The 25,724-nt window shown below is 49.4% G+C and overlaps 1 protein-coding gene across 12 annotated transcripts, besides 7 other annotated features; it reads right to left on the bottom strand.

The window, feature by feature from the left end:
• Positions 6,889-7,829: a silencer, noted in NCBI's record as "S6 fragment used in the reporter construct". NCBI's record gives its function as "represses activity of a beta-globin enhancer-driven SV40 promoter in transfected K562 erythroleukemia cells {active_cell/tissue: K562}" and the evidence as "EXISTENCE:reporter gene assay evidence [ECO:0000049][PMID:30886051]".
• Positions 7,242-7,536: an enhancer, noted in NCBI's record as "tiled region #4233; K562 Activating DNase matched - State 5:Enh". NCBI's record gives its function as "activates a minimal TATA promoter and a strong SV40 promoter by Sharpr-MPRA in K562 cells {active_cell/tissue: K562}" and the evidence as "EXISTENCE:reporter gene assay evidence [ECO:0000049][PMID:27701403]".
• Positions 12,337-24,480, bottom strand: SERPINE1 (serpin family E member 1). 12 transcript variants are annotated; one of them, NM_001386459.1, is made up of 10 exons: positions 24,340-24,480; positions 22,920-23,191; positions 20,930-21,163; positions 19,515-19,709; positions 17,691-17,889; positions 15,990-16,090; positions 15,783-15,869; positions 14,500-14,583; positions 14,157-14,179; positions 12,337-13,576 (listed from the first exon to the last, which is right to left on the bottom strand). In NM_001386459.1, exons 2-10 carry the CDS (start codon positions 23,188-23,190, stop codon positions 13,487-13,489), a joined length of 1,284 nt encoding a protein of 427 aa, NP_001373388.1. In that variant the 5' UTR covers position 23,191; positions 24,340-24,480; the 3' UTR covers positions 12,337-13,486. The 12 variants fall into 12 exon arrangements, with proteins under 12 accessions (NP_001373388.1, NP_001373395.1, NP_001373394.1 ...); NM_001386466.1 differs by having other exon boundaries at positions 12,337-14,179; positions 22,896-23,191; NM_001386465.1 differs by having other exon boundaries at positions 12,337-14,179; positions 15,768-15,869.
• Positions 12,697-13,472: an enhancer, noted in NCBI's record as "H3K27ac-H3K4me1 hESC enhancer chr7:100781393-100782168 (GRCh37/hg19 assembly coordinates)". NCBI's record gives its function as "activates a minimal SCP1, AML or CMV promoter by ChIP-STARR-seq in naive H9 embryonic stem cells {active_cell/tissue: H9 hESC(naive)}" and the evidence as "EXISTENCE:reporter gene assay evidence [ECO:0000049][PMID:30033119]".
• Positions 15,761-16,262: an enhancer, noted in NCBI's record as "H3K4me1 hESC enhancer chr7:100778603-100779104 (GRCh37/hg19 assembly coordinates)". NCBI's record gives its function as "activates a minimal SCP1, AML or CMV promoter by ChIP-STARR-seq in naive and primed H9 embryonic stem cells {active_cell/tissue: H9 hESC(naive and primed)}" and the evidence as "EXISTENCE:reporter gene assay evidence [ECO:0000049][PMID:30033119]".
• Positions 22,485-23,264: an enhancer, noted in NCBI's record as "H3K4me1 hESC enhancer chr7:100771601-100772380 (GRCh37/hg19 assembly coordinates)". NCBI's record gives its function as "activates a minimal SCP1, AML or CMV promoter by ChIP-STARR-seq in primed H9 embryonic stem cells {active_cell/tissue: H9 hESC(primed)}" and the evidence as "EXISTENCE:reporter gene assay evidence [ECO:0000049][PMID:30033119]".
• Positions 23,265-24,044: an enhancer, noted in NCBI's record as "H3K4me1 hESC enhancer chr7:100770821-100771600 (GRCh37/hg19 assembly coordinates)". NCBI's record gives its function as "activates a minimal SCP1, AML or CMV promoter by ChIP-STARR-seq in naive H9 embryonic stem cells {active_cell/tissue: H9 hESC(naive)}" and the evidence as "EXISTENCE:reporter gene assay evidence [ECO:0000049][PMID:30033119]".
• Positions 24,825-25,604: an enhancer, noted in NCBI's record as "H3K27ac-H3K4me1 hESC enhancer chr7:100769261-100770040 (GRCh37/hg19 assembly coordinates)". NCBI's record gives its function as "activates a minimal SCP1, AML or CMV promoter by ChIP-STARR-seq in naive H9 embryonic stem cells {active_cell/tissue: H9 hESC(naive)}" and the evidence as "EXISTENCE:reporter gene assay evidence [ECO:0000049][PMID:30033119]".

Here is a 25,724-nt window from a genome sequence, read left to right as displayed (position 1 = left end):
CCTCCACCTCCCCGGATCAAGCAATTCTCCTTCCTCAGCCTCCCAAGTAGCTGGGACTACAGATATCTACCACCACACCCCGCTAAGTTTTATTTTTTTAGTAGAGATGGGGTTTCACCACGTTGGCCACGCTGGTCTCAAACTCCTGACCTCGAGTGATCTGCCTGCCTTGGCCTCTCAAAAGTTCTGGGATTACAGGTGTGAGCCACCGCGCCCGGGCCCAACTTCTTTCTTCTTTTACTTTTTCTTCTTCCTTTTGCTTTTGTTTTCTTTTCTCCTCTGCCTCCACCTTAGGCTTTTCAACACCATCGTCTAAGATATATGACATATACTAGTGGAATATCTTACCAGTGGCATAGATTATTGGCTGCCTGAACTATTGTGGTGCTACTTATTTATTTATTTATTTATTTTTTTTTTTTGAGACAGACTCTTGCACTGTCGCTCAGGCTGGACTGCAATGGTGTGATCTCGGCTCACTGCAACCTCCACCTCCTGGGCTCAAGTGATTTTCCTGCCTCGGCCTCCTAAGTAGCTGGGATTATAGGTGCATGCCACCACGCCCAGCTAATTTTTGTATTTTCAGTAGAGACGGGGTTTCACTATGTTGGCCAGGCTGGTCTCGAACTCCTGACCTCGTGATCCACCCGCCTCGGCCTCCCAAAATGCTGGGATTACAGGTGTGAGCCACCAAGCCCGGCAGCTATTTATTAGGTCAAGAATAAGATGGCACAGACAGTTAGCTGGCTGGACTATCCTGGTTGTGGGGAAAAGCAAGACAGATCAGATTGTTACTGTGTCTGTGTAGAAAGAAGTAGACATAGGAGACTCCATTTTGTTCTGTACTAAGACAAATTCTTCTGCCTTGAGTTTCTGTTAATCTATGACCTTACCCCCAACCCCGTGCTCTCTGAAACATGTGCTGTGTCAAACTCAGGGTTAAATAGATTAAGGGCGGTGCAAGATGTGCTTTGTTAAACAGATGCTTGAAGGCAGCATGCTCCTTAAGAGTCATCACCACTCCCTAATCTCAAGTACCCAGGGACACAAACACTGCGGAAGGCCGCAGGGACCTCTGCCTAGGAAAGCCAGGTATTGTCCAAGGTTTCTCCCCATGGGATAGTCTGAAATATGGCCTCGTGGGAAGGGAAAGACCTGACTGTCCCCCAGCCCGACACCCGTAAAGGGTCTGTGCTGAGGAGGATTAGTATAAGAGGAAGGCATGCCTCTTGCAGTTGAGACAAGAGGAAGGCATCTGTCTCCTGCCCGTCCCTGGGCAATGGAATGTCTTGGTATAAAACCCGATTGTACGTTCCATCTACTGAGATAGGGAAAAACCGTCTTAGGGCTGGAGGTGGGACATGCGGGCAGCAATACTGCTTTGTAAAGCATTGAGACGTTTATGTGTATGCATATCTAAAAGCACAGCACTTGATTCTTTACCCTGTCTATGATGCAAAGACCTTTGTTCACGTGTTTGTCTGCTGACCCTCTCCCCACTATTGTCTTGTGACCCTGCCACATCCCCCTCTCGGAGAAACACCCATGAATGATCAATAAATACTAAGGGAACTCAGAGGCTGGCGGGATCCTCCATATGCTGAACGCTGGTTCCCTGGGTCCCCTTATTTCTTTCTCTATACTTTGTCTCTGTGTCTTTTTCTTTTCCAAATCTCTCGTTCCACCTAACGAGAAACACCCACAGGTGTGGGGGGCAACCCACCCCTTCACCTGGTATCATTTGTAGGTCAAGAATAAGATCAATAAAGCAAGTTGTTAGGATTAGAAAGGATAAATCATATGGAATGAAAGCAAGGACTAGAAGTATGGCCGGGCGCAGTGGCTCGTGCCTGTAATCTCAGAACTTTGGGAGGCGGAGGCAGGTGGATGACCTGAGGTCAGGAGTTCAAGACCAGCCTGGCCAACGTGGTGAAACCCTGTCTCTACAAAATACAAAAAAATTAGCTAGGGGTGATGGCGGGTGCCTATAATCCCAGCTGCTCGGGAGACTGAGGCTAGGGAATCACTTGAACCCGAGAGGCAGAGGTTGCAGTAAGCCTAGATCGTGTCATTGTACTTCACTCCAGACAGAGCAAGACTCTGTCTCAAAAAAAAAGAAAAAAAGAAAAAAAGGAAATGTGCTTAGGAGAGAGATGAGAAGGTATAAGGAAGGAATGAGTGGTATGAGTGGTGAGATAAATAAAGCAGGCTGGGTGTGGTGGCTCAGGCCTGTAATCCCAGCACTTTGGGAGGCCGAGGTGGGCAGATCACCTGAGGTCAGGAGTTCGAGACTAGGCCTGGTCAACATGGTGAAACCCATCTCTACTAAAAATACGGGTGCCTGTAATCCCAGCTACCTAGGAGGCTGAGGCAGGAGAATTGCTGGAACTCAGGAAGCAGAGGCTGCAGTGAGCAGAGATCACGCCACTGCACTTCAGCCTGGGCTAAAGAGCAAGACTCTGCCTCAAAAAAAAAAAAAAAAAAAAGGAAAAGAAAAAGAAATAAAGCAGAGGGCCGGGCAGCAGCTTGCAGAAGTTTGGAAGCTCGAGAGATATCAACTCCTACACTTCTTGGAAAGCCGACACTCTTTAAAATTCCTTGCCTCAATGTGATACGCCTAACTGCAGAAAAGATAGGCTTCATGAGAGAATTGTTAGAAATGTGGGTTTTGCAGCCAGGCACAGTGGCTCACGCCTGTAATCCTAGCACTTCGGGAGGCTGAGGTGGGAGGATTGCAGGAGCCAAATAATTCAAGACCAGCATGGGCAACCTGGCAAAACCCTGTCTCTACAAAAGATACAAACATTAGTCGGGCATGGTGGCGCACACCTGTGGTCCCAGCTACTCAGGAGGCTGAGGTGGGAGGATCGCTTGAGCCTGGCAGGTGGAGGTTGCAGTGAGCCGATATCTTACCACTGCACTCCAACCTGGATGACAGAGCAAGAACCTGTCTCAAAAAATTAAAGAAATTACAAATGAAAAGAAATATGGGTTTTGCTTGTAGGGAGTCATAGAATTCAAGTGGTTGAAACTAGAGTCTTGCCCTGTCTCCCAGGCTGGAGTGCAGTGGTATGATCTCGGCTCACTGCAACCTCTGCCTGCCAGGTTCAAGCGATTCTCCCTCCTCAGCCTCCTGAGCAGCTGGGGCTATAGGCATGCGTCATCACACCCAGCTAATTTTTTTGTATTTTTAGTAGAGACAGGGTTTCACCATATTGGCCAGGCTGGTCTCGAACTCCTAACCTCAAGTTATCCACCTGCTTTGGCCTCCCAAAGTGCTGGGATTACAGGCGTGAGCCACGACACCCAACTTGGATTTCTTCATTGTTAGTGAATGATGAATGTGGAGGATCTATGAGTTAGTTGATCCGATACAGCTTGTGCATGGAGATGAATTGAGATTTGATGCAGTTGGCAGTTTAGGGTCATTATGGTTGTGTGAACCAGTGAATAACTTGGTGAAAACAGTGTTAATAAAGTTAATCTTGGCCAGGCACATGGTGGCTCAGGCTCGTAAGCCCAGCACTTTGGGAGGCTGAGGTGGCAGAATTGCTTGAGCTTAGGAGTTTGAGACCAGCCTGGGCAACGAAGACCCTGTTTCTAGAAAAAATAAAAAAAATTAGCCAGGCATGGTGGCACGTGCCTGTGGTCCCAGCTACTTAGGAGGCTGAGGTGGGAGGATCGCTTGAGTGCAGGAGGTAGAGGCTGCAGTGAGTCGATTTTTCCACTGCACTCCAGCCTGGGTGACAGAGCGATACCCTGTCTCAGAAAAAAAAAGATTAATCTTATAGTCATATGTGGAAGAATTTGAAAGGACAATTGGAAAGCTGAAAGATCGTCTGAGAGTTTTGGGAATCCTGACTCCAGGATGAAATGCGAGGGACAAATCAGGAGAGATGCCTCAAAGGAGCTGGTGATCTGAAGCTGATCATCATCTAAGTAGAGAGGAAGGGAGAAAAATCCTGGAGGGTTAGTGGTGCCACTTGTATAAATGGAAACATGGAAGAGGTGAGATTCTTCTTCTTCTCTTTTTTTTTTTTGAGATGGCGTCTCGCTCTGTCACCCAGGCTGGAGTGCAATGGCGCGATCTCAGCTCACTGCAACCTCCGCCTCCTGGGTACAAGCAATTCTCCTGCCTCAGCCTCTTGCGTAGCTGGGATTACAGGCGCATGCCACCACACCTGGCTAACTTTTGTATTTTTAGTAGAGACGGGGTTTCACCATGTTGGCCAGGCTGGTTTTAAACTCCTGACCTCAAGTGATCCACCCGCCTCGGCCTCCCAAAGTGCTGGGATTACAGGCCTGAGCCACTGCACCTAGCTGAAGAGGTGAGATTCTTCTTCACTATTAGGAATGGTGTTTGTACTGTCATCTTACAAACCACACTGACACCTCCCCATGCCTTTTCTCATGTGGTTGTAGAGGTGGTTCCTGCGGTGGTTGAGAGGTGGCCAGATGGATTCTGAAGCCTCTCATCTTTGTGAGTCTATGATCCATGTTCCTCCCCACCTTTTTTTTTCAATTTTTTTAGAGTCAGGGTCTCACTCTCTTGCCCAGGCTGGAGTGCAGTGGTGTGATCATGATCACTGCACCCTCAAACTCATGGGCTCAAGTGATCCTCCTGCCTCAGCCTTCCAAGTAGCTGAGACTGTAGGCATGCACCACCATACCTAGCTATTTTTAAAAATTTGTTTGTAGGGCTGGGTGTGGTGGTTCACACCTATAATCCCAGCACTTTGGGAGGCCGAGGTGGGTGGATCACTTGAGGTTAGGAGTTCAAGACCAGCCTGGCCAACATGGTGAAACCCTGTCTCTACTAAAAATACAAAAATTAGCCGGGCGTGATGGCGCACACCTGTAATCCCAGCTATTTGGGAGGCTGAAGCAGGAGAATTGCTTGAACCCGGGAGGCAGAGGTTGCAATGATCTGAGATCTCGACACTGCACTCCAGCTTGGGCAATAGAGTGAGGCTCTGTCTCAAAAAAAAAAAAAAAAATTGTTTGCAGACACCAGGTCTCGCTATGTTGCCCAGGCTGGTCTCAAACTCCTGGGCTCAAGTGATCTTCCTGCCTTGGCCTCCCAAAGTGCTGGGATTACAGACGTAATCCTATACACCACACCCGGCTGGAACACTCTCTGTGGTTGATGTTTGTCATTCTTTTCAGCACTCAGGTTCTAACCCCCCTTCTTGGAGTGTGGGAATCCCATGTCTTATGAATTTAGGGAGCAGATAGACCAACCTCCCAGAGTAGTATTTGCAATTTCCAGATATTCACTTTTGCAGCGTTGTTTCTGGGCATAGCATGGGCATGTCAGCTGGACTCTGCCCATCTGTGCACCTGCCAGACTTTGCTCCAGGAGAGACTGGGGTGGGCATGAGGAGATGGAAAGTAGTTAAGACCCTGGCAGAAGGACAGAGGATCAAGTTCCTAGGGTGGCAGTGGAGTGGCGCTATTAGCGGTGTCTTGCATCCACAGGACAGGCAGGGGCACAGGTTTGATGTGGGGCATTGTTCCTAGTGCAATAGTGTGAGACCTCCCTCCAATTTGGTTCTCTGGCTGCCCCAGCAATTCCCTGAAATGCCCAATTTCCTTCCTTCCTTCCTTCCTCCCTCCCTTCCTTCCTTGCTTCCTTCCTTCCTTCCCTCCTTCCTTCCTTCCTTCCTTTCCTTCCCCTTCTCCTCCTCCTCCTTTTTTTTTTTTTTTTTTTGGAGCCTCACTCTGTCGCCCAAGCTGGAGTGCAATGGTGTGATCTCGGCTCACTGCAGCCTCCGCCTCCAGGGTTCAAGCAATTCTCCTGCCTCAGCCTCCCGAGTAGCTGGGTTTACAGGTGCCCACCACCATGCCCGGCTAATTTTTGTATTTTTAGTAAAGACGGGGTTTCACCATGTTGGCCAGGCTGGTCTCAAACTCCTGACCTCATGTGATCCACATGCTTGGACTCCCAAAGTGCTGGGATTACAGGTGTGAGCCACTGCACCCAGCCGGTTTCCATTTTTTAAAAATAAAATGAAATAAAGTAAGTATTCCATTGTCATCTCAAACTTCACTTGCCAAAAACGTGTTGCCACTTCCTTCCCCTGAAATTATCCCCTCTTGGTTTTCCATTGTGGTTGATGTTACTGCCTTTTTCTAGCCTTGCAAGCTGTAAGCCTGGGACATGAGGGGGGTAACACGAAATTGTGGCTTATTCAAGGGCCCCAGGGAAGACTTGCTGGACTAGATTAGGTGAGGGCCTAGAGAGGAATGGCTGGGTTATCAGGAGGGAGGAGGGGACAGGCTGAAACCAGCTGGAGATCTGAGAGTTCATTCTCACGTGTCCCTTGCATCTGCCCTGCTATACGTTTTCCTTCGTGATTTTGTTCATGCTGTTTTCTGGAATGCCCTGCCATTCCCTCCCTATAGACCCCAAACCCATCTGATTTATCCTTTATGGTTTCTTTTTTTTTTTTTTTTTTTTTTGAGAAGGAGTCTCGCTGTGTCGCCCAGGTTGGAGAGCAGTGGCACAATCTCGGCTCACTGCAAGCTCCGCCTCCCGGGTTCACGCCATCCTCCTGCCTCAACCTCCTGAGTAGCTGGGACTACAGGCGCCCGCCACCACGCCCGGCTAATTTTTTGTATTTGTAGTAGAGACGGGGTTTCACCGTGTTAGCCAGGATGGTTTCGATCTCCTGACCTCGTGATCTGCCCGCCTCGGCCTCCCAAAGTGCTGGGATTACAGGCGTGAGCCACCGCGCCCAGCCTATCCTTTATGGTTTCAAACAGCCCCTCCTCTGATGAGTCTACACTCTATTTCAGACTATAGCGATCATTTATACAGTGTTCCTTTCCATTATTTTTGCAGTGACTTGCATAGCTTTTCTTCCTTTTCTTTTCTTTTTTCTTTTTCAAGACAGGGTCTCACTTTGTTGCCCCAGCTTGAATGTAGTGGTGCAATCACAGCTTACTGCAGCCTCGACTTCCCAGGGCTCAAGTGATCCTCCGGCCTCAGCCTCCAGAGTAACTGGCATGCACCACCACGCCTGGCTAAGTTTTTTTATTTTTAGTTGAGTGTTTCGCCATGTTGTCCAGGCTGGTCCCAAACTCCTGGCTGCCTCAAGTGATCCTCCCACCTTGGCCTCTCAAAATGTTGGGATTACAGGCATGAGCCACTGCACCTGGTCAGCATAGCTTTTTTTCCCCAGCTTTTTGATGTCCCTTGTCATTAGATATCTGCTATTAAGAATAGCTGACACTTTCTTTTTAATGCTTCACAGTACCCAGTCTAAAGGTCAGCTTTTAAATAAATACTCGTTAAATTGAATGGAGTTCCAACTTGGCAAGATTTTGGTGGAAGCCACAGCTGCTTTGCTTCAGGGAAGAGCTTTCCACTGGAGCGAAAGCGACCTCTGGTGGCGAGGAGATCAAAGACCTGGTTCAGGAAGCAAGTGTTCAGGCTGGCCCCGCGGCTGGTGGCAACACACAAGCTGCTGATGACTGGCACGTGAGGGCAGCACTTTTTTTTTTTTTTTTTTTGAGCCGGGGTCTTGCTCTGTCACCCCAGGCTGGAGTGTAGTGGCGTGATCTTGGCTCACTGCAACCTCGACCTCCTTGGCTCAGGCAATCCTCCCACCTCAGCCTCCAGAGTAGCTGGGACTACTGGCGCCCGCCACCACGCCCAGCTCATTTTTGTATTTTTTTTTGTGGAGACGAGGTTTTGCCATGTTGCCCAGGCTGGTCTCGAACTCCTGGACTCAGGTGATTCACTTGCCTCGGCCTTCCAAAGTGCTCGAATTACAGGCATGAGCCACTGCCTGGCCAGCACCTTTATACTCGACCACGTCTGAGCCCTTCTTTTCTCTCTTTCTTTCTCTTCTTTCTTTCTTTCCCTTCTTTCTTTCTTTCCCTTCTTTCTTCTTTCCCTTCCTTCCCTTCCTTCTCTTCATTTTCTTTCTTTTCTTTCCTTTCCCTTTCCTTTCCCTTCCTTTCCCTTTCTTTCTTTCTTTCTCTTTCTTTCTTTCTTTCTTTCTTTCTTTCTTTCTTTCTTTCTTTCTTTCTTTCTTTCTTCTTTCTTTCTCTCTTTCTTTCTCTCTTTCTTTCATTCTTTCCTTTTTTCTCTCTCTCTTGATGTCTTGCTCTATCGCCCAGGCTGGAGTGCAGTGGTGCGATCTCAGTTCACTGCAGCCTCCGTCTCCTGGATTCAAATGATTCTCCTGCCTCAGCCTCTTGAGCAGCTGGGACCACAGTTGTGCGCCACAATGCCCAGCTATTTTTTTTTTTTTTTTTTTGTATTTTTAATGGAGATGGGATTGTACCATGTTGGCCAGGCTGGTCTCAAACTACTGACCTCAAGTGATTCGCCACCGCGTCCTGCCTACGTCTGAGCCCTTCTTGGTGTTTCGGGAGACCTGTTCCTGTTCACACGTGCCACAGAGAGAGGCAATATGGTGTAGAGGCAGGGAACACAGGGTGCCCAACTGCCTGTGGCTGTTAAGTAATAATGATGATAGCAGCAGCTGGGCACAGTAGCTCATGCTTGTAATCCCAGCACTTTGGGAGGCTGAGCCCCAGAGTTCAAGACCAGCTTGAACAACATAGTGAGACCCTGTCTCTACAAAAAATAAAATTAAAAAATTAGCTGGGGCCGGGTGCAGTGGCTCACGCCTGTAATCCCAGCACTTTGGGAGGCTGAGCCCAGGAGTTCGAGACCAGCTTGGACAACATAGTGAGACCCTGTGTCTACAAAAAATACAATTAAAAAATTAGCTGGGGCCAGGTGCAGTGGCTCACACCTGTAATCTCAGCACTTTGGGAGGCTGAGGCAGGTGGATTACCTGAGGTCAGAAGCTCGAGACCAGCCTGGCCAACATGGCAAAACCCTATCTCTACTAAAAATACAAAAATTAACCGGGCATGGTGGCACATGCCTGTAATCCCAGCTACTCAGGAGGCTGAGAAAGGAGAATCTCTTGAACCCGGGAGGCGGAGGTTGTAGTGAGCAGAGAGATCAAGCCATTGCATTCCAGCATGGGTGACAGAGCGAGACTTTTTTTTAAAAAAAAAAAAAAAAGAAAGAAAACGAATTAGCTGGGTAGTGAGTGGTGCGCACCTGTAGTCCCAGCTGCTTGGGAGGCTGAGACAGGATTGTTTGAGCCCAGCAGTTCAAGGCTGCAGTGAGCTGTGATTGCACCACTGCACTCCAGCCTAAACAACAGAGACCCCCTCTCTAAAATAATGATAATAATGAGATCAAGTTACTCAACCTCTCTGTGTCTCAGTTTTCCTGAGTGCTTGCTACTTTTTTTTTTTTTTTTTTTTTTGAGACGGAGTCTCACTCTGTTGCCCAGGCTGGAGTCCAGTGGCGTGATCTCGGCTCGTTGCAAGCTCTGCCTCCTGGTTTCACGCCATTCTCCTGCCTCAGCCTCCTGAGTAGCTGGGACTACAGGCACCCGCCACTGCGCCTCGTTAATTTTTTGTGTGTTTTTAGTGGAGACGGGGTTTCACCAACCTGGCCAGGCTGGTCTTGAACTCCTGACCTCGTGATCCACCCGCCTTGGCCTCCCAAAGTGCTGGGATTACAGGTGTGAGCCACCACACCCGGCCTAATTTTTGTATTTTTAGTAGAGACAGGGTTTCACCTTGTTGGCCAGGCTGGTCTCAAACTCCTGACCTCAGGTGATCCGCCCACCTTGGCCTCCTAAAGTGCTGGGATTACAGGCCTGAGCCACCACGCCCAGCCGCTTGCTACTATTATTTCAACAAAGCTTACTTGAGAAACCACCTAAAAAAATGATTTCAAAAAAAGATGGTGTCTCCTTGACAAATTTGCTTTTGACTGAATATTTTTACCATTAAGGGATTTACAACATTCATACTCTTTGCCCACAGATGAGCAGATAAATAATTCCACTGTTTGAGGTTTACAAGAAATGTACAATAACGGTAGCTGGAGGCAGATCTTGTTAATTTTTCATCCCTAAAGAACAGCGGGCCAGGCATGGTGGCCCAGCACTTTGTGATCACAGTACTTTGGGAGGCCGAGACAGGTGGATTGCTTGAGCCTAGGAATTCGAGACCAGCCTGGGCAATATAGTGAGACACCATCTCTCCAAAAAATGCAAATATTAGCAGGGCTTGGCGGCGCACACCTGTGGTCCCAGCTACTCGGGAGGCTGAGGTGCGAGGATGGCTTTGGGCCCAGGAGATGGAGGCTGTAATAAGCTAAGATTGTGCCACTGCACTTTTGCCTCAGCAACAAAGCGAGACCCTGTCTTAAAAGAAAAAAAAAAATAGAGAAGGGAAGACAAACTTAGAACAGGCAAGGGACAGGGCCAGGCAAAGTCAAACAGGGCTGGGCAGGTCTCGTGCTGTGAGTCTACATCATTTTTGTCCTCACAATAGCTGAGAGTCTGTTAAATGGGGCATTTCCTGGAACAAGCCTCCTCTGTGGTGAGGGGGCTTTTTGAAGAACTCTTTTTCCTCTAGAGCCATCTCAGCATGGATGAGCAGTTTTTGAACTGTATACTGCAGAGTTAGGGCTAATTTGTTCTGCTTTTTGAAGCATTTTGTGCAAAAAGAGGCTGTTTAGCTTTCCAAGCAAATCTGTTAGAGACAGGTAACTTTTCAGCCACTAGCCTGGGGCCTGGAATTAGTCATACTTTCAGGGTATAAGGAGGTTGAAAGGTACACCTGAGCCAAGCTGGGCATGGTGGCTCACAACTGTAATCCCAGCAATTTGGGAGGCCGAGGCAGGAGGATTGTTTGAGCCCAAAAGTTCAAAACATGGTGCAACCCCGTCTCTACAAAAAATTGTTTAAAAAGCAATAGAAATGAGCTGGGTGTTCAGGGGGCTGCATCTCTGAATCCTATCTTCAGGGTTCTGGAGTTAGACAGTATACAAGTTCAACAGATGGTTATTGGTCTTTTTTCAGTTTAAAAAATTATTTTTGAATATTTGAACAGAAACTAATGGAGGGAAGTGTGCCCTCTGCCAAAAGCCTTCGAGATGCTGGAGAAAGATAATAAAAGACTTTTCAGGAAGCCATTTTCAAGAAGATGCTAGAGTATATATAACAAGAGAGCCTTGTTTTCAAGAAACCTGATACCTTGATGGGCTTGGGGAGGGTAAGACACACACACACAAAGCTAAGGAACACTCGAGAATCCAAGCACTGTTACAGACCAGGGAGAAGAAAACTCAGTCAGTGTCGAGTTGAGAGTGATGATGTTTTGATCCCCTTCCTTCCTTCCTTCCTTCCTTCCCTCCCTCCCTCCCTCCTTTCCTTCCTTCCTTCCTTTCTTTTTCTTTCTTTCTTTCTTTCTTTCTTTCTTTCTTTCTTTCTTTCTTTCTTTCTTTCTTTCTTTCTTTCTTTCTTTCGTTCTTTCTTTCTTTTTCTTTTTCTTTCTTTCTTTCTCTCTTTCTTTATTTTTCTCTCTCTTTCCTCTGTCTTTCTCTCTCTCTTTCTCTCTTTCTTTTCTTAGAGGAAGAGTCTCACTATGTTGTCCAGGCTGGTCTGAAACTCCTGGCCTCAAGCAATCTTCCTGCCCCGGCCTCCCAAAGTGCTGAGATTACAGGCGTGGGCCACTGCGCCGGACCTGAGAGTGATATTGGCTGGATCCATGGGAAGTCCTAGGTGGAGGAACTGGAACTTGAGCTGGGTTTGAAGAATGGGGAGTGGGAGTAGAGGGGTGGGAAGCATTTGGTGCTGGAAGGAAGTGTCATGAACAGAGTTGGGAACCCACAGTGACAGTGACTTACGAGCAGGCCCATCTGCATAAGTGGAAAGTTTATGGCAGGGGAACATTTTTTTCCTTTTTGAGGATGATTCCCAGGGGCAGAATCAACTTATCCTTGGGGCTTGTGGCAGAGCTGAGGTGACCATTTCATGGACTCCCCCATGTTGGGCCAACCTGGATGTAGGAAGGTCTCTTCCACCCATGAGGTCTATGGACCAACAGGATTTTGATTCTGGGTTTGTTGTTGTCTTTGTAGTTGTTGTTTTTTGAGAGGGAGTCTCGCTCTGCCACCCAGCCTGGAGTTCAGTGATGCAATCTCAGCTCACTGCAACCTCTGCCTCCTGGCTTCAAGTGATTCTCCTGCCTCAGCCTCCCGAGTAGCTGGGATTACAGGCGCCAGCCACCACGCCCGGCTAATTTTTGTATTTTTAGTAGAGACGGGGTTTCACCATGTTGTCCAGGCTGGTCTCAAACTCCTGACCTTAGGTGATCCACCCACCTCGGCTTCCCAAAGTGCTGGGATTACAGGCATGAACCACCACACCTGGCCTAGGCTTCTGATTTCTTGTACCACCGGTGTGAAATGGAGAAGGTGAAGGCAGTGACTGTCCTGACATATTCTTCGTATTTATTTATTTTATTATTTTTTTGAAACATTTTTACATGTTTATTTATCAAAAGTGAAAAAGCATACAATTCAACACAATTTCAATAGCATTTGACACCACCCCTGTGGATCCTGTACATGGCTGACGTCACCGTCCAGTGCAAAATCAAAAAAGAAAGAAAGAAAAACCCCAAAGAAAGAGGATTTTTCAGTGGAGAACATGGTGGGCTGATTAGGCTTCTATTAGATTACATTCATTTCACATCTGTGTGCAATTCTCCCATAAATTGGTCTTTAAAATATATATATATATTTAAAGATATTAGAAATATATATTTAAGTATATTTAAAATATATATATTTTTAAAGAGACGGGGGTCTTGGTATGTTGCCCAGGCTGGTCTTGAACTCCTGGGCTCAAGCAATCCTCCCGCCTTGGCCTCCCAAAGTGCATTACATCCATCTTTGTGCCCTACCCTCTGGCTGGTAGGTTTTCAGAAATATTATCTAAGGTAGTTGAATCCGAGCTGCCTGTCTCTCTCACCCACCCCCCCCTCACGTGTCCACTGCTCACACACAGCAGCCGGAAATGACACATTGAAGTGAGTCACCAATGCGGCTGTGAGTCACCCTGTAATTGGGGAAAGTTCTGTCCTGGTAGGTCATGCAGCCCCTTGCATTTCTGCTCCTAAATCTATTGAACACATTGGAAACCACTCTGTCCTCATCTGAGTCTCTGTCCCCCCACTCCGTCCTTTTGATCCCCTGAAGGAGGATGAAATTGTATGGTCAATTTCCATCAAGGGGAAAAAGAGGGGCGCGGGGGGCGCGAGGGTCTCAGGCGGCCACAAGGTGGCAGTGTGGGCTCCGTCACGCTGGATGTCCGGAGGGGTGTGTGCCAGTCAAGTGGCTGGACTTCCTGAGATACGGTGACACAGACCACAAAGAAACACTAGGAGCGAGTTTAAATAATATTATTTTCCTTAGTAGTTCTCTTTCTCTCTAACAAGCACTCAAGGGCAAGGATATGATAAATATTTAGGTACACCCCTCCCCACCAAGAGATTGGGGGGTGAAGAGCTGGGCACGCATCTGACATTTCTTCCTCTATTCCTATAAAAATAAAAGGAAGCAGAAATCTGCTTCAATGAGTAAACAAGTCACCTACACTCCAAAATAACCCATGCACACTGTTTCTGGGGAGGGAGATGGCCAGGCCAGGAGAGTTGGGCCACATGATGGGGGACATTCACTCTGCCACCTGCAGCACCCCTGTACTGGGGAGGGGTGGCCAGTGCCACAGTGGACTCTGAGATGAAAGGGTGTTTCTTCCACTGGCCTTTGGCCTGTCACCAGCCTCCTCCGCGGTGGCAGGCAGTACAAGAGTGATGGCAATGTGACTGGAACAGAAATAGTTTCTACCAGGCACACAAAAGCTCCTGTAAGCCCCGTAGTTCCATCCTGCAAAGGGCCTCAGTGGGAACCAGGTCTGCAGACCCGAGTGGGCAGAGAGACGGGTGGAAGCAGGTGCCCCAGATGGTCCCGCAGGCGTCACCGTCTGGTTTGGAGACCTTAAGGGAGTTGTGCTTCAAACTTCTCTCCCAGGGTCTCAGGTGGAGACTAGGGAGTTTGACCTAAAGGTCCTCCAAGGAGAGGCCAAGGTCTTGGAGACAGATCTGGTTTACCATCTTTTAACAAAAGGCAAATGTCTTCTCTTCCTTCAGAAAGAGTCATTAACACTAAAATTCTTTTCTTCGGAGTTTCTTCTTTCCCGATGCATCTCCAGTTTTGTCCCAGATGAAGGCGTCTTTCCCCAGGGTCAGGGTTCCATCACTTGGCCCATGAAAAGGACTGTTCCTGAGGGTGGAAGAACCATGGGGGTTGAGAAGCAGAAGGAGTGGGACAGCTCATCAGGCTGGATGTGGGTGGAAGGACTGAGATCTAGGCAGATGAGTGAGCTGTCTGGAGTCGCAGCTGCCTGAGTCACAGAGCGGGGACCCGGCACTGTCTGTGGGTGATAGAAGGTAGCCTCCTCTTGGGACAGGAAGCAGGGTAGGGTTATGGGTTCCCTGCCCAGAGCCCTCTCAGGGATAGAGGGATGTCTGCATCTGTCGGGACTAGTTCCTGAGAGAAAGAATGGGTGGGAGGATGTGGAACGTGATGGGTTCCAGGCTCACCTGTGGGGTTGTGCCGGACCACAAAGAGGAAGGGTCTGTCCATGATGATCTCCTCGGGGGCCATGCGGGCTGAGACTATGACAGCTGCAAGAGAAGGGACAATGTCTTAGAACAGAGGGATGCTGGCACTGGCACCACCCCCACCCCCGCCGTTTTTCTTAGAGACAGGGTCTCCCTCTGTCGCCCAGGTGGGAGTGCAGTGGCACCTTCATGGCTCACTGCAGCCTTGAACTCATGGGCTCAAGTGATCCTCCCACCTCAGTCTCCCAAGTAACTGGGGCTACAGGTGCATGCCACCATGCCTGGCTAATTTTTTTCTAATTTTTGTAGAGACACAGTCTCATTATATTGCCCAGGCTGGTCTCAAATTCCTGGGCTCAAGCGATCCTCCTGCCTCGGCCTCCCAAAGTGCTGGGATTACAGGTGTGAGCCACTAAGCCCAGCTGGAAGTTGTTTGTTTTCCTGAATATGAACCTTAAAAGTTTAGGGACATCCTCTGAGACCTGGTTTCCTCCAGGAGCTTGGTAGCAATGGATCAGCTCTTCCCTTACACACATTTATCTAAATCCTTTAAGGGCTTATTGATAAGCTCTTTCTTTTCTTTTCTTCTCTTTCTTTCTCTTTCTTTCTTTCTTTCTTTCTTTCTTTCTTTCTTTCTTTCTTTCTTTCTTTCTTTCTTTTCTCTCTCTCTCTCTTTCTTTCTTTCTTTTCTTCAGAGTCATGCTCTATTGCCCAGGCTGGAGTGCAGCAGCGTGATCTCGGCTCACTGCAACCTCTGCCTCCTGGATTCAAGTGATTCTCCTGCCTCAGCCTCCCAAGTAGCTGGGACTACAGGCACATGCCACCACGCCTGCCTAATTTTTGTATTTTTAGTAGAGATAGGGTTTTGCCATGTTGCCCAGGCTGGTCTCGAATTCCTGACCTCAAGTGATCCACCTGCCTTGGTCCCCCAAAGCGCTGGGATTACAGGTGGGAGCCACCATGCCCAGCCTGATAAGCATGTTTCTTAAGTTTACTTCCCACTGTGGGAACAACTTGGGTTTTTCTTTAGGAGGCCTTTTCACAGTCAGGGAACTTAGGAGCCATCAGGCGAGGAAACAGGGTTCCATGGTCCCAAGCCCGTTTTCCAGGCTGAGAAACAGGTGGGGAGTGGGTGATGGCTGAGCACAGACAGAGCTGCTCTGTGCCGAGAGGGCTGCGGGGTCCTTTCCGGGTCTGGGGACCAGTTATCCTGAAGGGCGATGGAGGCGACACCCGTGGAGCCTCACCTGAGCCAGACTCACCTGTGGATGAGGAGGCCACCGTGCCACTCTCGTTCACCTCGATCTTCACTTTCTGCAGCGCCTGCGCGACGTGGAGAGGCTCTTGGTCTGAAACAGATGTGGATACAGGATTAGATCAGCTGCCGCTCTCAAGGAGAGGTTCCTTTTTCCTCTTAGGGGCCCCCGCAGTCCACTGGGGTGAGAAAATGCAAAGGAAAGTCTTCTTACCTGAAAGACTCGTGAAGTCAGCCTGAAACTGTCTGAACATGTCGGTCATTCCCAGGTTCTCTAGGGGCTTCCTGAGGTCGACTTCAGTCTCCAGGGAGAACCTGCAGATAGCAGCAAGAGGCTGCTCAAGCCGGGGTCCCCTCTGGCTGGCAGCTCCCACCTTTCCCCATCCCCTACCAGGTGTCCCCCGAATCAAGTGGCCAGAATAGGGACGGAGGTGAAGGTTGGAGAGGGAGGCCTGGTTCGTTCGTTCTTTCTTTCCTTTCTTTTTCTTTCTTTCTTTCTTTCTTTCTTTCTTTCTTTCTTTCTTTCTTTCTTTCTTTCTTTCTTTCTCTCTCTCTCTTTCTTTCTCTCTCTCTTCTTTCCTTTCCTTTCCTTCCTTCCTTCCTATTTTTCTTTTTTTTTTTTTGAAACAGATTCTTGCTCTGTCCCCCAGGCTGGAGTGCAGTGGCGTGATCTCGGCTCACTGCAGCCTCCACCTCCCAGGTTCATGTGATTCTCTGGCCTCAGCCTCCGGAGTAGCTGGGATCATAGGCGCTCGCTACCACGGCTGGCTAATTTTTGTATTTTTAATAGAGACAGGGTTTCACCATGTTGGCCAGGCTGGTCTCAAACTCCTGACCTCAAGTGATCCGCCCGCCTTGGCCTCCCCAAATGCTGAGATTACAGGCATGAGCCACCACACCCAGCCGGCCTGGTTCTTCTTCTAAAGCTGTTTACAAAGTCCCCCCTTAGAGCTGAAAATCCTAATATTCATGAACATTCTTCTGCAATCTCCCCACCCCCTCCCACCTATGACTAATTACTTTCCTCAAATAAGACAGTAGTTTCAGCATAATTTTATTCAGCCTGGCTGGGGTGGGGGAAGCTAAGGGCAAATTCTCCTGCAAGGATGTTGGAACAAAAATCTGTTCTGCAGATTGTGTTTCTGAGAGCTAACCCTGAAGAGGACTCAAGCAGGGGGCCTTTGTGCACTCTCTGCTTCTCACCAGGGCACAACTAATTACCTCCATTTTTATGAGCCAGAGAGAGAGGAGAAAAAAAAAAAAGAGGAAGAGAGAGGATGCAAGTGAGAGCACGCACCAGCTAACCAACTAAATTCTCCTCTTTCCCCAAGCCTGGCATTATAGCATCCGGAAATTTGGGATGAGCGTGGTGGGAGGCTTCCCTATAATTCTGGAGTTCCCCAGCTCCAGCCTTCTCCTTCTGCAGAAAGATTTCAAAAAATCTCTTTGCTTCCTTCTGCAGAAGGATTTCGAAAAATCTGCTTTCTTGGAACCCCAGCTAGAAGCTGCGCTTTGAGCTGCTCCGTCCTTGGAAGTGATTTCTTTTGTTTGGATGTTGACTTGAAAGGGTTGGGGATGGAAGTGCTGATGGGGCGACCCTAAGTAGATGTGGACTGATTGGGCCCCCACCTCCCTCATTTCTCTGACTCTCCTTTTGGGGGCTTTTGCTGGGTATTCTGGGGATAGTCAATGTGGGGGTGTGGTCAGGAAGAGCTGTCCCCTGCCCTCCAGCAGAAACAGGGGGAGGGATGATTGCAAGACTCATAATCAAACCCAGGCCACAGTTTCCCATCAGCCTCCCACACATGCATGTCCTGCAAGCATCACAGATCTGGGAAATTCAACCTGGGGGCGGTGACTTTAGGGAGCCAGGAGAGAGGGGTTGGTAGGTCGGGGAGATAGCGGGGTGGCTTACTTGGGCAGAACCAGGAGGCGGGGCAGCCTGGTCATGTTGCCTTTCCAGTGGCTGATGAGCTGGGCACTCAGAATGTTGGTGAGGGCAGAGAGAGGCACCTCTTTTTCATAAGGGGCAGCAATGAACATGCTGAGGGTGTCCCCGTGGTAGGGCAGTTCCAGGATGTCGTAGTAATGGCCATCGGGCGTGGTGAACTCAGCTGTGAAGACGACAAGATGGTTCGTTGGAAATGGCTCCAGCTCTCGCTGATGGCAACCCAGCACTGGGTTTTCACCTAGTTCTCCTGGCTTCTCCACTATTTCTGGAAGCCAGGCTCTCTCTCGCTCTTGGCTTTTGGGTATCCCCTGTTCACTGCTCCCCTATTCAGTATTTTAATTTCTATTTCCCTTCTCTTCTGCCAATTCAGTATCTTCTAATTTCTCTCTCTCTGTGTGTGTGCATGTGTGTGTGTGTGTGTGTGTGTGTAAGAGACAGGGTCTCACTGTCACACAGACTGGAGCGCAGTGGTGCAATCATAGCTCACTGCAGCCTCCGAATCCGGTTCAAATGTTCCTCCCGCCTCAGCTTCTGTATTTTGTTTGTTTGTTTGTTTGTTTGTTTTGAGAAGGAGTCTCACTCTGTCGCCCAGGCTGGAGTGCAATGGCATGATCTCGGCTCACTGCAACCTCCCCCTCCCGGGTTCAATAGATTCTCCCACCTCAGCCTCCTGAGTAGCTGGAATTACAGGCACCTGCTATCATGCCCAGCTAATTTTTGTATTTTTATACAGATGGGGTTTCACCATGTTGGCCAGGCTGGTCTTGAACTCCTGACCTCAGGTCATCCACCCGCCTTGACCTCCCAAAGTGCTGGGAATACAGGCGTGAGCCACCGTGCCTGGCCTCACCTCAGCTTCTTGAGTAGACTACAGATGCATGTCACCAAGCCTGGCTAATTAAAAAAAATTTTTTTTTTGTAGAGGCAGGGTCTTGCTATGCTGCCCAGACTGGTATTCAACTTCTGGCCTCAAGCAATCCCCCTTCTCAGCCTCCCAAAGTGCTGGGATTATAGGCGTGAGTCGCCGCGCCAGGCCTTCTCTGTCTCTTTTGGCCTTCCTTCACTTCCATTTTCCCCACACCCAGCCACCAGTTCATCCCAGTCCTCATCCTTTTTTTTTTTTTTTTTTTTTTGAATGGAATTTCACTCTTTTGCCCAGGCTGGGGTGAAGTGGCTCAATTTCGTTCGGCTCACTGCAACCTCCACCTCCCGGGCTCAAGTGATTCTCCTGCCTCAGCCTCCCGAGTAGCTGGGATTACAGGCGCCTGCCACCACACCTGGCTAATTTTTGCATTTTTAGTAGAGACAGGGTTTCACCATGTTGGCCAGGCTGGTCTCAAACTCCTGACCTCAAACTCCTGATCCACCTGCCTTGGCCTCCCAAAGTGCTGGGATTACAGGCGTGAGCCACAGCACCTGGAGTCCTCATCCTCTTAACCTCAACTCCCCCAGCAGGATTTCTCATCCCCAGGTAATCACACTAGCAACACACGAAGATGAGACCCTGGAGTCAGGTGGACAAATGTGGCCCTGAGGGAATCTCTGGATTTCAGCTTCTTCATCCTTCATGGGATAAACCTCCTGTCTTCTGTTCCCATTATCCTGATGTCTCCTGCTTGGGAAATCTTTGTCAAAGCTGGAGTATATTCTAGGGTCTCTCCTCCCTTAAAGGGGAGCATTCCCTGTGGTCTTCCTCCCTCAGAGGGTGACATTTTGGGTATTCCTTGGGAGACCCCAGGAATGAGATGCAGTTGCTGTGGGCTGTGGGGAAGGGGCTCTTGGACTTACTATAGTTGAACTTGTTGGTCTGAGCCATCATGGGCACAGAGACAGTGCTGCCGTCTGATTTGTGGAAGAGGCGGCGGTGGGTGCTGGAGTCGGGGAAGGGAGTCTTCCACTGGCCGTTGAAGTAGAGGGCATTCACCAGCACCAGCCGTGTCAGCTGGTCCACGGCTCCTTTCCCAAGCAAGTTGCTGATCATACCTATGGGAAAATCAATGATCAGGAAGATCAGGAAGTTAGACGATTTTGTTGTTGTTGTTGTTGTTGTTTTGAGATGGAGTCTCACTCTATTGCCAGGCTGGAGTGCAGTGGCGCGATCTCGGCTCGCTGCAACCTCTGTCTCCGGGGTTCAAGCAATTCTCCTGCCTCAGCCTCCCGAATAGCTGGGATTACAGGCGCCTGCCACCATGCCTGGCTAATTTTTGTATTTTTAGTAGAGACGGGGTTTCACCATGTTGGTCAGGCTCGTCTCAAACTCCTGACCTTTTGATCCACCTGCCTTAGCCTCCCAAAGTGCTGGGATTACAGGTGTGAGCCACCATGCCCGGCTGAAGTTAGACAAAGTTTTTAAGCCTTTTAGATGTTTCCCGGAGTCCCCAGTCCTCAATTGGATGTATGTCAAAGGGCTGCAGTCAGGGGTTTAAATGAACCCGTCTAGTTCCTTTTTTTGGAGACAAAGTCTTGCTCTGTCACCCAGGCTGGAGTGCAGTGGCATGATCTCAGCTCACTGCAGCCTCTGCCTCCCGGGTTCAAGTGATTCTTTGAACCTCATCCTCCCGAGCAGCTGGGATTATAGGCATGCGCCAACACACCTGGCTAATTTTTTGTATTTTTGACAGAGACAGGGTTTCACCATGTTGGCCAGGCTGGTCTCGAACTCCTGTGCTCAGGCAATCTGCCCGCCTTGGCCTCTCAAAGTGCTAGGATTAGAGGCGTGAGCCACCGTGCCCAGCCTAAGATTTGGTTCTTAAAGCATCCAGCCCTTTGTCCATAGAGAAGAGAATGCTGAAAAGGAGCATTTTTTAGGATATGTGGATTTGGTTTTTGTTTGTTTTTTAGAGATGAGGTCTTGTTCTGTGACCCAGGCTGGAGTGTGGTGGTGCAAACATAGCTCACTGCAGCCTTGAACTGCTGGACTCAAGTGATCCTCCCACCTCAGCCTCCCAAGTAGCTGGGACTACAGGTGTGCACCACCATGCCCGGCTGGTTTTTAAATTTTTTGAAGAGATGAGGTCTTGTTATGTTGGCCAGGCTGGTCTCAAACTCCAGGCCTCAAGCCTTCCTCTCGCCTAGACCTCCCAAAGTGTTGGGCTGGGATTACAGGTGTGAACTACTGCACCCAACTGGGATATGTGGATTTATTTCCAAATTCCCTTTCTCTTGAGGCCCAGGAAATGGGTTTCCTTTCCCTGCCTGCTCACCTTTTGTGTGTGTCTTCACCCAGTCATTGATGATGAATCTGGCTCTCTCCACCTCTGAAAAGTCCACTTGCTTGACCGTGCTCCGGAACAGCCTGAAGAAGTGGGGCATGAAGCCCTGGACCAGCTTCAGATCCCGCTGGACGAAGATCGCGTCTGTGGTGCTGATCTCATCCTTGTTCCATGGCCCCATGAGCTCCTTGTACAGATGCCGGAGGGCGGGGGCCATGCCCTTGTCTGCACCGGGACAGAGAGGAGAGGACATGTGAGGCTTATGCTGAATTGAGGGTTCCCAGCCGAGCCCACTTCCCCCACAAGGGGCTCCACTCTGATGGATGGGGGCTACCGTGCTTTCCCAGGGCTCTCTGGAGGGAGATTTCATTCCAGGATGAAATCTCTTTTCTGTATCTCCTTCCTTTCTTCAAAAGTCTCAGATCCCAACCCTTTCTTTGGGCTAGAATATTTTTCTCTGTTCTTAAATTATGAACCCTAAATATTTTCTTCCTGTTTTTTTTTTTTTTTTTTTTTTGAGTTGGAGTTTTGCTCTTGTCTCCCAGGCTGGAGTGCAATGGCGCGATGTCAGCTTACTGCAACCTCTGCCTCCTGGATGAACCCTAAATATTTTCTTTCTTCTTCTTTTTCTTTTTTTTTTTTTTTCAGACAGGGCTTCCCTTTGTTGCCCAGGCTGAAGTGCAGTGGTACAATCATAGCTCACTGCAGCCTCCAGCTCCTGGGCTCAAGCCATCCTCCCACCTCAGCCTCCTGAGTAGTTGGGACTACAGGTATGTGTCACCACATCTGGCTAATTTGTAAATTTTTTTGTAGAGGCAGGGGTCTCCCTGTTGCTCAGTCTTGTCTCGAACTTCTGGCCTCAAGTGATCCTCCTGCCTCAATCTTCCAAAGTGCTGAAATTACAGTCATAAGCCACCTTGCCTGGCCTTAGTTTTTTTTTTCTTTTCCTTTCTTTCTTTGTTTCTTTGTTTCTTTCTTTCTTTCTCTCTCTCTCTTTCTTTCTTTCTTCTTCTTTCTTTCTCTCTCTTCTCTCTCTCTCTCTCTTTCTTTTCTTTTTTTTGACAGGTCTCACTCTGTCACCCAGGCTGGAGTGCAATGGTGTGATCTCAGCTCACTGCCACCTCCACCTCCCGGGTTAAAGTGATTCTTGTGTCTCAGCTTCCTGAGTAGCTGGGATTACAGGTGCACCACCTCATCAGACTAATTTTTATATTTTTATTAGAGACGGGGTTTCACCGTATTGCCCAGGCTGGCCTTGAACTCCTAGCCTTGGGTGATCCTCCTGCCTCAAACTCCGAAAGTGCTGAGATTACAGGCATGAGGCACTGTGCCTGGCCTTAGATTTTTTTCCTATAGTGATGGCTATGCTAAGTATTTCACAAGTGTAATTCCATGAATTCTTTTATTTTTTTTTTTTGAGACGGAGTCTCTCTCTGTCGCCCAGGCTGGAGTGCAGTGGCACGATCTCAGCTCACTGCAAGCTCTGCCTCCTGGGTTCATGCCATTCTCCTGCCTCAGCCTCCCGAGTAGCTGGGACTACAGGCGCCTGCCACCACGCCTGGCTAATTTTTTTTGTATTTTTAGTAGAGATGGAGTTTCACTGTGTTAGCCAGGATGGTCTTGATCTCCTGACCTCATGATCCGCCCGCCTTGGCCTCCCAAAGTGCTGGGATTACAGGCGTTTGAGCCACCGCGCCCGGCTCATGAATTCTTTAGGACAGCAAATAATCCTCATTTTGTAGATGGGCAAACTTAACGAGGTTAAGATCACACGGTGGTGAATAAGCGGTAAATCTACTGGTCAGACACCCTTGGAGATTCAAGGGTCCAGTGACTTGGAGTGTAGTGGGAAGAAGATGGGGTGGCCCCTGCAGCACAGCTGTATGGGGCTTGGCTCGGCTAAGCCAGAGCCAGCCTTTCCTTGGCTTCTGGTAGGTCTGTTCTGCATGCCACCCACCTCCCCTGGTGTCCCGTGGCTCACCATCAATCTTGAATCCCATAGCTGCTTGAATCTGCTGCTGGGTTTCTCCTCCTGTTGTCAGCTGGAGCATGGCCAACACCGAGGCCACCCCATAGGGTGAGAAAACCACGTTGCGGTCCTTGGAGGCCTGCGCCACCTGCTGAAACACCCTCACCCCGAAGTCTGAGGCCAGGTGGGCCACGTAGGATGGGGGATGGTGCACAGCAGACCCTTCACCAAAGACAAGGGCCAGGCCCAGGACTAGGCAGGTGAGGGCTGGAGACATCTGCATCCTAGAGCAATGGAAAGAGGGCTGGTGAAGGAATCGTTCTGGAAGACAGGCGGGAGGGGAGGGGAGCTGGCCAGCTGTGGGCCCTGCTCTTCTTGTTTCCTGCAAGCAGGTGGTAAGTGAACACTAGGGCAAGGTGCAGGAAGAGACCATGACATGTTCAGGTTCTAAGCCCATCCCACTCCGTCTCACTCAGACTGACTTATCCCCGGGCAGTGGCAGGGAGTCTTCGCCCATCTTGCCCTGTGGGAATCTTGGAATCCAGTCCATCTCCCTTCCCTCTGTGTCCCGTAAAAAAGCCTTAGAAGAAAAGCAGGTGAGAAGTCATTACCACTCTCTGCCTTTGCAGCCCAGGGGGAATTTAGCCCAGACTCAATTATCAATTATCACAACATCTTTGATTTGCATAAGCTTTAAATTTGCTTTCTTTTCTTTTCTTTCTTTTCTTTCTTTCTTCCTCTTTCCTCTTTCTTTCTTTCTTTCTTCTTTACTTCCTTCCTTCTTTCCTCTCTCTCTTTCTCTCTCTTTCTTCCTTCCTTTCATTCATTTTTAGAGACAGGGTCTTGCTCTGTCACCCAGGCTGGGTGCAATGGCTCAGTCTTGGCTCCCTGCAGCCTCCGCCTCCCCAGCTGAAGCAATCCTCCCACCTCAGCCTCCCAAGTAGCTGGGAATACAGGCACACCAGCACGCCCAGCTAATTTTTGTATTTTTTTGGGAGAGCAGGGTTTTGCCATGTTGCCCAGGCTGGTCTCAAACTCCTGGGCTCAAGTTATCTGCCTGCCTCAGCCTCACAAAGTGCTGGGATTACAGGCATGAGCCACAGTGCCCAGCCTTAATTCTCTTAATGCTTTCCCAGCGATTGTTTCATTCAAGTTAGCAGGCATGAGGTGGGAAATGGGTAAGTGTCTTGATGCAGAGGGACTGAGAGAGTCAAGGTTCTTGTTACTGGGTGATGGGGTTGTTGGTGACGCCTGACCATCCTCCCTGCTCTCCTGCAGTCACCCCTAGGGCAGGGTCGACCCAAGGCTGCAGGTCCGAGGAAAAGAAAATAGAGGAATAGCGGGGGATCATGGAGGGAGGAGATTCTGGGGAGGCGAGTTCTCTGCCTTAAGCCCGAAGTAAGAGGTTGGAGGGAGTTTGCTTTTCTCCTACCTGAAGTTCTCAGAGGTGCCTTGCGATTGGCGGTTCGTCCTGCTCTGGCGGCGGCTGCTGAGCTGCAGGAATTCAGCTGCTGGAGGGGGGCGTGTGGGTCTTCTTGACAGCGCTCTTGGCCCTGCAGCCAAACACAGCTGTGCTCCTCTGTGGGCCACTGCCTCCTTTTATACCAGATGTGGGCAGGAAATAGATGAACTCATGTTCCAGCCCCACCCACTCACTGGCTCTGGGAGTCCGTCTGAACAGCCAGCGGGTCCCCCTCGACACCTCCCTCTCTGGGACTTGCTGAGGCATGTGTGTGTGTGTGTGTGTGCTGCTCTGTGTGTGTACGTGTGTAAGAGCATTCAGGAACAATTGAGCAAACCCCAATAGCCTTGGCCTGAGAACCTCCCTTGACCTTTCTGCCCTCTGCCTGTGTCTGTCTCTCCCGGATGTCCTGCCAGGTTGACTGTCTGCCATGCCGGGTGACCCAAAAAGCCTAGGACCCCTAGTGTTCAGCTTGGAGAAAAAAAAAACAGCTCACGTTGCCTGCTTTTCCTTTGGCGAACCAGGTCACTGTGGAGTTATCAAAGATAACCTCCATCAAAACGTGGAAGTTTTCCCCCAGGGCTGTCCACCCGGTGCTCTGGACCACCTCCAGGAAAGAGCGCCCCTCCCTCCTCCTGGGCCCAGCCCAACAGCCACAGGGCATGCAGCCAGCCACGTGATTGTCTAGGTTTTGTCTGTCTAGGACTTGGGCCCAACAGAGGACTCTTGGTCTTTCCCTCATCCCTGCCATGTGCCCGGCCGCCTCCGATGATACACGGCTGACTCCCCACGTGTCCAGACTCTCTCTGTGCCCCTGAGGGCTCTCTTGTGTCAACAACCTTGTCTGGCTGAGGTTGGAGGTGTGCTGGGTGGGGTGGTGGTGGCTGAACGGGACCAGGGGTTACCATGGTAAAAGCTTGGTAAGGAAACAGGAGACCAACGTGTAAGTTTCACTTCTTCGAGCTGCCCGCTAGGACTTGGGGCAGCTTGTCCTTTATCCTCTTCCTCCAGACACAGACACAAGGGGAAAAGGGATAGAAACAGAGTGTCAATTCATGGCAGGTTTGCAGGGTGTGCTTTTAGGGCAAGGGGGTGAGGGGAGGAAGAGTGACCGATAGATTCTGTGGAGCAGTGGTCCTCAACGTTTTTGGCACCAGGGACTGGTTTCATGGAAGACAATTTTTTCACAGACCAGGGTGGGATGGTTTCGGGATGATTCAAGCACATTACATTTATTGTGTGCTTTATTTCTATTATTATTACATTGTAATATATATAATGAAATAATTCCACAATTCACCATCGTGTAGAATCAGTGGGAGCCCTGAGCTTGTTTTCCTGCAACTAGATGGTCC

This window comes from Homo sapiens, chromosome 7 (assembly GCF_000001405.40).
Source record: "Homo sapiens chromosome 7, GRCh38.p14 Primary Assembly".
Taxonomy (NCBI): Eukaryota; Metazoa; Chordata; class Mammalia; order Primates; family Hominidae; genus Homo; species Homo sapiens.
The sequence above is the reverse complement of the archived record's forward strand: the minus strand, read 5'-3'. Positions and strand labels throughout refer to the sequence as shown.

Bases quoted from the DNA above. Each gene is read 5' to 3' on its own strand.
- SERPINE1 (NM_001386460.1), bottom strand. From the start codon at position 23,190: ATGCAGATGTCTCCAGCCCTCACCTGCCTAGTCCTGGGCCTGGCCCTT. The intron at 19,710-20,929 runs GTGAGCAGGCAG...ATTTTCCCATAG, and splicing joins GGTGAAGACACACACAAAAG to GTATGATCAGCAACTTGCTT. The intron at 14,584-15,782 runs GTGAGTCTGGCT...CTTCTCTTGCAG, and splicing joins GGTGGCCTCCTCATCCACAG to CTGTCATAGTCTCAGCCCGC.